The sequence below is a fragment of the Homo sapiens genome, chromosome 7 (assembly GCF_000001405.40).
Source record: "Homo sapiens chromosome 7, GRCh38.p14 Primary Assembly".
NCBI classification, from domain to species: domain Eukaryota; kingdom Metazoa; phylum Chordata; class Mammalia; order Primates; family Hominidae; genus Homo; species Homo sapiens.
Genome location: NC_000007.14, coordinates 131,785,866 through 131,798,963, shown reverse-complemented (window position 1 = coordinate 131,798,963; position 13,098 = coordinate 131,785,866). Strand labels below are relative to the sequence as shown.

The 13,098-nt window shown below is 41.1% G+C and overlaps 1 annotated feature.

The window, feature by feature from the left end:
• Positions 6,208-6,724: an enhancer, noted in NCBI's record as "NANOG hESC enhancer chr7:131476999-131477515 (GRCh37/hg19 assembly coordinates)". NCBI's record gives its function as "activates a minimal SCP1, AML or CMV promoter by ChIP-STARR-seq in naive H9 embryonic stem cells {active_cell/tissue: H9 hESC(naive)}" and the evidence as "EXISTENCE:reporter gene assay evidence [ECO:0000049][PMID:30033119]".

Sequence of the window (13,098 nt, the reverse complement as noted above, 5' to 3'; positions counted from 1 at the left end):
TCGGTGCAACCCATTACAATACAGGGCTAAAGGTATGGCCAGGATTTGCATGAAGTACAAGGCCCACTTGAGGCAGCAGGATGGGCAGGTGGCTGAGAAGAGGGGAGGGCAATGGAAAGGCAGGTGTGTTCATCCATTTTGTGTTGCTATAACAGAAGAATACAGACTGAGTAATTTACAAAGAAAAGAAATGTTTTTTTTACATTTCTGGAGGCTGGGAAGTCCAAGGTCAGATTGCCTGTATCTGTCAAGAGCCTTCTTGTTGTGTCTTCCATGGCAGGAGGCAAAAGAGCGAGACAGGGCTGAACTCACTTTCTAGTAAACTTGCTCCCACAACGACATTAACCCATTCGTGAGAGTAGAACTCTCATAACCCAATCACCTAAGAGTCTCACCTCCTAATACTGTCACAATGGCAATTAAATTTTATCACGAGTTTTGGAGAGGACATTTGGACTATAGCAGCAGGCCAAAGCCTGCTTCTCCAACATGACAACCAACCACCCCAGGGCCAGCTCAGTCCTGACATTTGGATTAGATCATTTATCCAAAGCCTCAAGCCCAGTCATGGTCCTGGCAGGTACTGAGAAGCAAAGAAGCCCTAGGACCCATTCAGAAGGCACAGATACAACCTACAGAGATGCTTAGAAACATAAGAGCTCAGACCAATGGCAAAGATAGACACCAACATCTGGCAATAAACCAAGAAATCAGAGCATGAAAAAACATTGTATCCTGCCCACCCTGAAGCCTCCACATACCTGGATGGCATCAAAGATGTCTTTTCACCTCGTAGTCTACATTATTCCATGGGAAGAGCCTCTTTCACAGATGAGGAACCTGAGAAGTTGGGTGACTCATCAAAAGTTGCACCACCAATTACACAGCAGCCCCTAACTTTCATTCCAATCGTGTTGGAGTTTGTTATACCGTGTTGCATTCCTCCCAATACATGACCCATTTCAAATGGGTCATTCAAATCCAGGTTGCAGTTGGTGCTCATTTTCCTATTAGCTCTGGAAGGTTTCCAGTACCCACACACCCTACTCACTGTCTGCCTGGAGAAGGACTTCATTCACCTGTCCATAAACCTAGTGGATGGAGATAGCGTGGCAACTTACTTTATATACTTTATGGGGCCTCAAATTGTCAGCAGGCAATTCTTTCTCTATGTCTGTAGTTCACAAATATCTGCTGCTATCTCCCAAGTGCCTTAAGTACATCATCTCATTTAATTTAGTCTTTGCAACAACTCTATATGGTAGATATAATGATGCTCATTTTCCTGGTGAGTAAACTGAGGCTCACAGAGGTCAAGTGACTTGCCCAAGCTAACACATCTAGAGGTGGAAAGTCAGAATTTGAATTTCAGACAGCCATGCTCTTGCGCTGTCTCCATTGACCGGTGTGCCACATTGCCTCCCTTTCCCAGTGGGACTGCCTCTCCTCCACCTGGTATCTTCTGCAACATAGAGGGTTTAGGGAGGCAGAGGTCACCCCAAGAGGATATCCTCCACTCTAATGTGAACCTGATCTTTGAGCACCCTCAATCCTGCTTGAGACATGAGTTGGTTCATCCTCATTACCAACCCAGGGATATAGCCACAGATGCAAATAAAGTTACATTTTCCTACAGATACAAATGGATTTGTGTAAAGGCATCAGAACAAAGCTGCTCTGCTAAGCCCTCCATGAAGGTGCAAATTGCTAATCTGATTTAAATGTGTCACTGGTTTGCTTAGGTCCCATCAAAAGTTTTGGATACAGGAGTCAAGGAATAATAAAAGTTTCTGATATGAGCTCTACTCATATTTGAGCTTGAAATGAATTCTTAGTTGTTGGTTGTGGGAGCCAATTTCTGTATTTTAAAATGGGGTTGGCAAGCAAGACAAGGACAAGACAGAAAGGAACCAATAAAATCAAGAGCAGGGATTAATTAAGGTCATGGAGATGGCAACAAAGGAAGGAGGGTAATCACACTTCTTCCAAGAAAGACAAGTTGGGTTTTTTTTTTTATATACATAAGTTTCTGGAAAAATAATTTAATTTTAACACCATCTCCACAAATCAGCTGGGCTCATCTGTCTCCCATGGAAAGTAAAGATTGCCCTTTTTCTGGCCAGGGGGGGAATCTCATTTCCCCTCTCCTTATCATTTATTAGAAATCAAAATATTGTTTCAAATAGAAGTGTTTAATATTTCAGACTACATAATGTGTCCAGCACAAAAGGGCAGCATCAGTAGGCAGGCTACAGAAGTTAGAGAGGAGATGAAAAGTGACCCTGAACCACACGACCAAAGATTTCTCTCCGATCTATCCTTCCTTGTTCTGGGAGACTTGGCTTATTGGCCATTGTTCATTCTTGAACTTCCTCCACTCTGAAAATGGGGAAAATAACTTGAAGATTTCCCTCCCCTACCCTATGGTATAGAGGTATTTCAACAACATTGATTGCAACAGCCACTGTCTAAAGCAAATTCCCCTCTCCAAATGATTTTGGTCATAGAGAAACTAAGATGTATTCCCACCAAAAACACCACTCTATATGAGGCTGAAAATTCTGGCAAGAAAAGAAACTTACGACTTAGGTCATATCTATTAGCACTGTGGTCCAAATTAATAGCTTATTTCTCCTTTGTGGCCTTTTTTATATCTTAGTCATTGGCAGCCACCTTCTCTCAACTCCTCTCATATCTAAAGATCTGGTGACACATCACTTCCTAGACTATCACTACCTCTCGTTTTCTTTATATTTAAAATGCCTGATGGAAGCTGGGTGCAGTGGTACACACCTGTATTCCCAGCACTTTGGGAGGCCAAGGTGGGAGGATCGCTTGAGACCAGGAGTTTGAGACCAGCCTGGGAAACATGGCAAAATTCTGTCTCTACAAAAAATGTAAAAACTAGCCAAGCATGGTGGTGCACATCTGTAATCCCAGCTACTTGAGACGCTGAGGTGAGAGTATCACCTGAGCCCGGGGAGGTCGAGGCTGCAGGAGCCGTGATTGCACCACTGTCCTCCAACCTGGGTGACAGAGTGAGACCTTGTATCAAAAATTAATAATAAAAATAAAAATAAAAGGTCCGATGGAGCTAATTCATAGTATTGTGCATCATCCGTGGCTATCTCCATTGAACACCTGATGAACCCCAGTCTCCAAACACCTTACATTCTAGACTCTCAAACAGGTAAAATCCAATCCCTCAACTTTATCAATTTGGCAGGTTTGAAATTCAGTGTGTCAGGTTTACCGGTAATGAGGAACACTTCAACTCACCCGGATGACGGCATCAGTGTGAGGGATAGTGGCGATGCAGCTAACCCAATTACCAAGTGTTCTGGATGTGTGAAGCACCGTGCGAATGCTAAGTCATAATGTTATGCTTTCATCTGAAAGATGTGCATATCACCCAGGAGCATCAGTAAGTCAGTAACATAATCTGCAATAAGTCATCATTAATTAACGCTAAATCACCAGGCCCTTCCTCGGGAAGCAGCATATTAAACTGACATCGGTATGTGAAGAGTTCATTATGGTTAACGCTATGAGAACACAAACTGAAAGACTTAATAGTGGATTAGAAGGTGTTTATGTCCAAACACCTCATGTAGGCCCCCAGCTGCCACACTCCAGCAAAGATATTAGCTCGTTGCTAAGGACGATCATGGGAGACGGAGAAATTTACACGAAGAGGTTCTCCCAGGGTGGAGTAATGAGATATTTGGAAGCGTTGAAAAAACATGAAAGAGCGCACGCTCACCCAGCTCTTCCCCTTATCCTTCCCCTCTTTCACACCATTTCCACGAGATGGAAGCAAGGAGCAAAGAGATATCAGCAGCAATGGGCTCTTGGGGCAGAGGGAGGGATCAGATTCACCTGGGGAATGCGAAGGCATGGGTGTAGGGGAGGGTGGGATTGGATGGTGGGAAAACTCCTCGGGTGATTTCGTTTGCCACCCCACATCCCCCTTCCCCACCCCACCTACTATTATGGAGTGATTTTTGCCACATTTAATGTTATTGCTTCAAATTGTAATGTCAAATGATACTAAACAACATAAATTTGTGAGGCACATGGTTGTAAATCAACATTGCCATAGCTAATATAATCGCTAACCTAAGTAGACATTATCATAAAAACAAAATGAAAGGTTGCACAGGGTACAACGCTGATTATCCAACACCAGCACTTCCATGGCTGTTAAACTCATTGCAAGAAAGGGATGAGAATCCCTGAACCACAGGCATGGGAACGCAGTGGCTACAGCCTTGGTGCACCTCCTTCATTCCCCAGAGTGAAGGGACCTAGTGGCAAGCACACTTTAGTACAAGTCTCTGTACTCAGTTGTAATAAGTCCTTATTCAAAAAGAGGCCCACAGTCCCAGCTACTCAGGAGGCTGAGGTGGGAGGATCACTTAAGCCCAGGAGTTCAAAGCTGCAGTGAGTTATGATTGCACCACTGCACTCCAGCCTCGGCTACAGAATGAGACTCTATCTCGTAAAAAAAAAAAAAAAAGAAAGAAAGAAAAGAAAAGAAAGAAAATAAATAATAAAAATAAAAAGGAATAAATTTCTTCTGCTACTAACAAAATATTAGCATAAAGACAAAGAAGTGTGAAGTCTTTGAAGAGATATATTGTTTTTCATGCATTCATTCACTCAACAAATATTTACTGAGCATTCTGATAGCATTCAAGATACAAAAAAAGAGAGAGAGACCAAAAGGCCTGTCCTCAAGTCACTCTCCGGCTAGCATGAAAGGGAATACAGTGCACAAATAGGCAACTAGTTATAAAATGGTGGAGGAGTAGAGGGATTCACAAGTTGTGCAGAGCAGACAGGGGAAGGAAAGTGACAGGGATGCCTCTCAGAAAAAATATACATGCGCTAAGGATCATCTGGGAGGCGAGGCTAGGGCCATTCCAAGCAAAGGGGACAGTCTAAGCATAGCCACAATCCTGGAGAAGAAAGCCCTTCCTACTACCAGTCCTGTCCCTCCCAGCTAGAACAGACTGGACCATGGTAGACACCAGATCCACACTAAACCAATTGGTTTCCTCTTATAGGATGACCAGACTAAATGAGTCACCTGCCCTGAAACTTAAAACTCAAGTGACAAGCCTGCCATTTAGAGACCACGTAGTCAGAGGAGAGCAGAGAAGGGGTCTCTAAAGAGAAGCAGGGGAAGGAAGGAAGCACACAGAGAAGGGCAGATCCAAGAAACCATGTGACCCCAAAGCAGAAGGAGGGAGAATGATGGCTTTCAGGCACAGGTCTAGACCTTCATAAGGCTCAGCTATTTTCATGGGCCATGACTCTCGTGAAATACTCTCAGTTCCTTTGAATAAAGTCCCCTTAATTTAAGACAGCTGGGCCAGGATTCTGGCTGGGGGCACTGGTGAACAAGAGACACTGAAGGATCCTGGGTGGAAATGGGCTCTTCTGTACCATGGCATATGGCACTCACTGCAAGAGTGATCTCAGACCCACCTAAGTTAATCATCATCACCAGAAGTGAGAGGACTGCAAACAAACTGATTGGATCAGGGGCAGCGGGGCTGGGTTCACCAGGAGGTCTACACACCTACTTATCAGCTTTTTATAAAGATAAAATCTCTGAAGCACTTGCAGCTTCTCTGGAGAAAGACATGAGATAAATACAAGGTATTGTTAACAAAAGGGTCTTTCTTCTTTATTATAAAGCTATTGGAAAGGAATTGCTTTTCCAGGCCATAAGGGAGCTGCAGCCCAATCTCAACAGGTAACCTTGAAAATCAGACACAATAGCTGTCCCTTTTCTCAATTCTCTTTCTTCCCTTACTCACCATCCCTCCAAAAGCACACTTTTCCATTCACAGTCTTTTTCATGTACTGAGACTACCACCTTGTCCTCTGCATACTGAACAACCATGGCTGTGGCTGGGCCAGACCCTGCCCTGTCTCATCAGCTCAGCATCCATCATGCTTGGGCTGTGATGCCACTGAATTCTGGGTGGGAGGATGTGTGGCCAGGAAAGGGAGATGTCTTTCATGGCTCATAAGGAAGAGGCTTCCAGGCTAAAGGTTATGTACAGCACCCTGAGGAGTTCTGCTTTTGAAAGATCAAAGAAAAAGTCCCTCCTGATACAGTACATATAATTTCTTCACAATTCTTTCTGTGGCAACAGGATGTTTGTGTCAATAAAACTGTATTCAAGTATTTCGCATGTGTATGGTCACTGGAATGCAACCCAAAGATCTAAGGAAGGACACAGATGAAGAAAAGGTAAACCTATGACATGAGGCAGATAAGGGTGCAAAAGAGGAAGGCGTTAGATACATTCGCTTTGTAAAAATGGAGGCCAAAAACCAGGAGTGGGAATTGAGAAACAAGCATTTTCTTGGTATTCAAGGATGCTTAGGGAAAACCCTGCCCTGGGGACAGAAGCAGCAGGAAACTATGCTCTCTGACTGTGGGCTAATTCCCCAACAAAAGAACTTCCTAATCCATCTGTGGAACCTGCTGTAGGACACAGGACTTTGAGGAGTCTTGGTTTCTGGAGAGCTCCTGAAATGCTTTCCCTATGAAATGGAGTTTGTAGAAGTGGCTGGACCACTGCAATGCTCTCTAGACTTCTGAGCCCTAATAATGTTTTCAGCGAGACTGAGATGTAACAGCATCCCATGCCTAAACTTTCATCCCAGGGATGTTCCAGAAGGCAGAGGCTTCCCCTGTGGTCCACATCAGCTCTCTGGAACACTGGCATAGGGGCTTGGCATCTCATCAGCACATATTTAGGTTCATTGTCATTTGGAGTTTAAACGGACACTAGAATCACCAGGTATAACCCTCTCCACGTCTCAGATATGACACCACAGGTTGAAACATTTCACTGTCCTCTGGGATTCTCCAGGATGAAGCCGTTTCTGTTTGCATTTAATACAGCTACGCTGTCACTGTTAGAACCTAACTCCTCCTGTCCAACTGGCCATACAGGAGGCATGGTGGCTGCACTTGAGCTCGCCGACTATGCTAGAAGAGACTGTTACTTTGACCTAAACAAGTTATTCAGAATAGCTTCTTGGGTCACATAACCTCTTACAAGTTGTTTTGAAGGGAACCTGGGCTTCACAAAACAGCGTTATATAGTCCCAGTTACTCGGTGAACCCATGAGGTCAAGGCTGCAGTGTGCTGTGATCATGCCACTGCACTCCAGCCTAGGTGACAGAGTGAGATCCTGTTTCAAAAATAATAATAATAAATAATAATAATACAGTATTATCTGGGGAGACCATGTATTTGTTATCTATTGCCATGTAATAAATTACCTCCAAAACTTGGTGGCATAAAAAAACCAACATTTAGTATCTCACATTATCTGTGGGTCAGGAATTTGGGCACAGCTTGGCTGGGTATCTCACCTGAGATAAGCTGCAGTCATCTCAAGGCTCAACTGGGGAACATCTGCCTCCTAAGTTGACTCGTGGTTACAGGCAGAATTGATTTTCCTGCAGATGTTGGACCAAGGCTTCTGTTCCATGCTGGCTGTTGGCCAGAGGCCTCCCCTAGTTCCTGTCACATGGGCCTCTCCACAGGGCAGCTCACAACATGGCATTTGTTCCATCCAAGCAAGCAAGAGAGTAAGAGAGAGCACAGAAGATGGAAGCCATAGTCTTTTGGGAGCCTAACTCAGAAGTGACATCTTATTACTTTTCTCACAGTCTGCTTAGTAGAAGTCAACCACTAGGTCCAGCCCACACTCTGGGAGAGGAGATTACACAAGGACATGAATCCCAGGAGATGTGGATCATTGTGAGGCCATTTTGGAGACTGCCTACCACACACTACATATTATCTTCTCATATTACCTTTACATATTACCTTCTCATTTACATGTCTGTATCATGCGGATTGGCAAGAAGAGAAGGAAGACAGCAACCACGCTGACCAGATTCCTTCTATCCTTGCAGTAGTCAGCCATCACCATTAGGCCTGTGTGAAAGGTAAGCACACATGGTCATATTTTGGTATAGGACCTCCCTTCACACCATATCTGCTAGGAACTCTGGTCAAAGCAGAGCCAGAGTCCTCTCCCAGGAATGAGTAGTTGAGGTACGCAAAGTTAAACTGGATGGTCACCTAGAAGTGAGACCAGAGCCAACACAGTGTCTTGAGCAAAGCCATGCTCAAGCTGAAGTTAGGAGAGCAGAGACCAGGCATAAGCAGAGGTAGCCAATCAGCAAAGAAGAATCTGAAAGAGCAAAGACAGAGAGATACCAGGACCCTTATGATATCTGAGACAAAGACACAGAAACACAGAGAAACTGCCTCAAGGCTTGCCTCTTTTTATTTTTTTCTGTTTATTCAGTCTTGACCACATACCTTCTCCCCTGTATCTGAACTAGACTACATTGGGTTTTGTTTCTTTACCTTCAATCCTGACTAAGGCAAGTTTTCCCCAGTCTGTTTCTTCTCCTTGAAAATGATTAATATCAGTTCAATTTCACTCCAGAAAATGACCTTTGAGATGTAAAATAATGTGCAGATTCCAAGAAAAGCATATTTTTGTTCAAAGCACAGATGCAATGCAATTCATTTCCATAGGTCTTTATTGAGATGGAGGTTATTGTTCTCTCTGTGAATCAAGGTGGAAATGTAATTAAAGCAATGAGAATTTGACTTATCCTAAATCAAACTGCATGATAGTCATTAAACTAGAGCTTGAGGGCCGATATACTTAGCCTTCTGTATTAGTCCCTTCTCACACTGATAATAAAGACATACCTGAGACTGGGTAATTTATAAAGGAAAGAAGTTTAATTGACTCACAGTTCTGCAGGGCTACGGTGGCCTCAGGAAACTTACAATCATGGCAACAGAGGAAGCAAACATGTCCTTCTTCACACGGCGGCAGCAAGAGAGAAGTACAAAGCAAAAGGGGGAAAAGCCTCTTATAAAACCATCAGATCTTGTGAGAACTTACCCACTATCATGAGAACAGCATGGAGGTAACCACCCCCATGATTCAATTACCTCCCACTGGGCCCCTCCTATGACATGTAGGGATTGTGGGAACTGCAATTCAAGATGAGATTTGGGTGGGGACACAGCCAAACCTTATTACCTTCTAAACCCACAGTAACTTACAATGTGAAAATATATGTTACAAATTCATACAAATGTGCATACACACATGCACATACCTACATGGCAACAGACACACTTCACAAACTAGGAAAATGAAGTCCCAGCAAAGAGCAACCTCTCTTCACTCGTATTGATGTATCACAAGACAATATGCACCCCTTGAGTCAACTCCCACATGGATTTGCTTTCAGAGCACATTTTCTAAGTATTCAACAGTCTGTCAATAGAGAAACCAACTCTAGAGTAGTTTACAGGACTCCCCCAGGCAGTTCACGTAAATATTGCAAACTGCAAGTTTATACTGCCAACTCACTGCAGATACCCAGAAGAATAAGATTTTACAAGCTTTCTTTCCACAGGAAGTCAGACTGCAAATACAGAGTGATCATAGCTGGGATAATGCTGCCCCCTTTGATAGATGTAGCCTGAAGAAATGTCTTTTCTTAATATATAAATGATTTTTTAAATTATAAAGGTAATATGTGCTTATTATGGGGAATTCTGAAATTTCAAAAAATACAGAGGGGAAAATAAAGTTATGTATAAATACTATCACAAAGAGACAACTGAGGTTTGTGTTTGGTGTATTTCCTTATAGTCTTTTTTCCATATCATATTATATATGTACCTATAAAATATGTATATATGTGTATATATTATATATAAGTATGTATATCCATATACATATATGTATACACACAAATATATATATTTGTGTCTTTTACAAAATTGAAATAATATGTTTTGTTTTGCTTTTTTCACTTATTATTTGCATGGCAGACATGGGGAAAGACTGCTAATGGGTACCCAATTTCTCTTTGGTGAGATAAAAATATATTAAAATTAGATTATGTTGCTGATTGCACAACGCTGAAAATACACTAAAAACACTGAACTATACACTTTGAACAGGTGAACTTTATGGTATGTAAATTACATGTCAATAAATTGTTTAAAAAAAAACCTTAGTGAGATACTGCCACATTATATGTCAAGAAAAGTTGTTTAAAAAAAACCTTAGTGAGATACTGCCACATGCCTATCAGGATGGCTAATATTAGAATATTACTACATGGCTAATATTACTATATGGCCAATATTAGAATATTAGAATACTACTACATACCTATTAGAATGGCTGGTATTAGAATGGCTGATAGGTGTGTGACCAGTATTAAAAACAAAAACAATTGATTTTCAAAACTTTAATTCCAAATACTAGTTAGGATATAAAGTAACTGGAACGCTGATAAAAATATAAAATGGTGCAGCCACTTTGGAAAACAGTTTGGCAGTTTCTTACAAAGTTAAACATGCACTTACCATACTACCTGACAATCCTACTCCTAGGAATTTACCCGAGAGAAATGCATGCATATGTCCACACAAAAACCTATCCCTTGTGCAAATATTCATTGTAGCTTTAGTCACGTTAACCCCAAACCAGTAACAACAAAAATGTCCATCAATAGGAGAATGGACAGACAGAAACTTCCTCAAGCTTTGCCTCTTTTTATTTTTTCCTGTTTATTCAGCCTTTACAACATATCTGTATATCATATATTAAATTAAAATGTGATATATTTATTCAGCAGAATACTATGTAGCATTAAAAAGGAATTACCATTGCAGGCAACAACATAGATGAATCTCAAAACCATTATGTTGAGTAAAAGAAGCTCTGCAGAACAGACAAAATACCAGATTGTTCCATTGATATGAAACTCTAGAAGAGGGAACTCTAATCTATCACGACAGAAAATGGATCAGTGGTTGCCTGGGTCTGAGAATGGGAAAAAGCAATTGAGTACAAAGGAGCATGAGGGAATTTTGTAGAATGGTGATAAAATTTTGTGTCATGATTGTGGTGGTGGTTATATGGTTGTGTGCATTTTTCTAAACTCATCAAATTGTATACCTAAAATTCTTAAATTTTATTATATGTAAATTATACCTCAATAAAGTATATTTCTAAAAATAAAAAACTCACCAAACTGTAAATTTATAGGTGCATTTTTGGTGTATAAATTGTATCTCAATAAATTTGAGTTTTTAAAATGTGCAAAATATATATTACATTGTGTTCATTTTCACAGGTCATTAAATATTTTTCAAAAACACCCTAAATTGAATATTACACAGCTATTCTATTTAATGTTATAGATGTGCCACAACTTGATTAGCCATTGTTGCTGAATACTTAGTGATATTCTTTTTTTTCTTTTGCACTTAAAAAGCATTGTAATCAATATCTGCCTATATAAAACTTTGTCTAAGTTTCAGATTCATGAAAAGGGGACAATTGTGTCAAAGAGCAAAAATATTTTCAAGGCTCTCAATACATGTGGAACAATATTTTCTCAAAGCTGATTGCTTTTATCTGTGTAGGTAGGAAGAGAAAGAGGCTTGTTGCTGTTTCTCCAGCTCCTCTGCTAGAAGGGAAGCACTTTATGTGGATTCCCATGAAAGAAGCATGGGGCTACAGAGGCTGTGGGTTCTTGTTCTAGCACTATCAGTTGCTTTGTAATTTTGAGTCATTTCCTCCTCTTTAAATACTGTCTTTTTTGGCCTGTCATGGTGGCTCATGCCTGTAACACAAGCACTTTGGGAAGCCAAAGCAGGAGGATCGCTTGAACACAGGAGTTCAAGACCAGCCAGGGCAACATAGTGAGATCCAGTCTCTATAAAAAATAAGTAATAAATAAATACTGTCTTTTTAATCTCCAAAATGAGAATACTAACTTATGGTAACCAAATATTGTTTGACAGGACATAAAAAAGCACTAACCATAAAATAAACAATTGATAATTGAACATAAAAGCTTGTATTTATTCAAAGACATTATCAAGAAAAACGGCAAACCACAGACTGGAAGAAGTTATTTTATAAAACATATATTGAACTCAGGATTTATATCAAGAGCCCCTAAAAATAATTAGGAAAAAGGTGGGCAAAAGAACATGCAATTAAACGTGCACTTCATGCACACACACAAAGATTCATGTGGGTAACATGCAGACGAAAATGTGCTCAATATCATTAGTTATATGGAAATGCAGATTAAAACCACTTGAGGTATCACTATATGTCCAGCAGAATGGCTAACATTTAAAAGATTGACAACGCCAATGTTTAGTGTGGAGACAGAGTAATTAGAACTCTCTTTCATTGTTGACAGGAGTGTGAAATAGTATAATCGCTTTGGAAAACTGGAAGTACCTGCTAAGATTAAACATATATACCCTTGTGAGGTAGAAGATTCACAGGATTTGTTTTCCAAGCATCAATCAGGACCCTCCTGATAAAAAATGGGTTGCAGTAAAGAAACGAAATGAAACCAGCAGATGGCAAGGGAAGTGACCTCTAGTTGCCCTCACTGCTTATTAGCATTAAAAAACTCCCACCAACACCATCACAGTTTACAAATACCATGGCAATGACCCGGAAGTTACTTTATGTAGTTCCAGTAACTTCCCCTGCCCCTTTTCTAAAGAATTCTGAACAATCTGTCCCTTAATTAACATATAATTAAAATAGGTATAAATATACTTAGCCAGCAATCCACAGGGGCTGCTGCTCTGCACTGCTACTGTTGCTGTTCACTGCTGCTGCTGCTCTTCCTCCTAGGGGCTGTCTGCCTATGAGATAGCTCTGCCCTGCGGATGGAACAGCCACTTTGCTGTACGCTGATACTCTGGGCCACTCTGCCCTCCTCTGTCTGTGGAGCAGCCACTCTGCTGTACACTGTTGCCCTGAGAATCTTACTTTCTTTCACTGTCTGCTCACTATTGAATTCTTTCCTGAGTAAAGCCAAGAACCCTCCCAGGCTAAGCCCCAATTTGGGGTTTCATCTGTATCACCTGGACTCAGTAATTTCACTCCTGGATATATGCCCTAGAGTTATAAATTAGTGCACAGGTGCACCAAGGCACATGCAAGAAATTTCATAGCAGTTTTATTTATAAT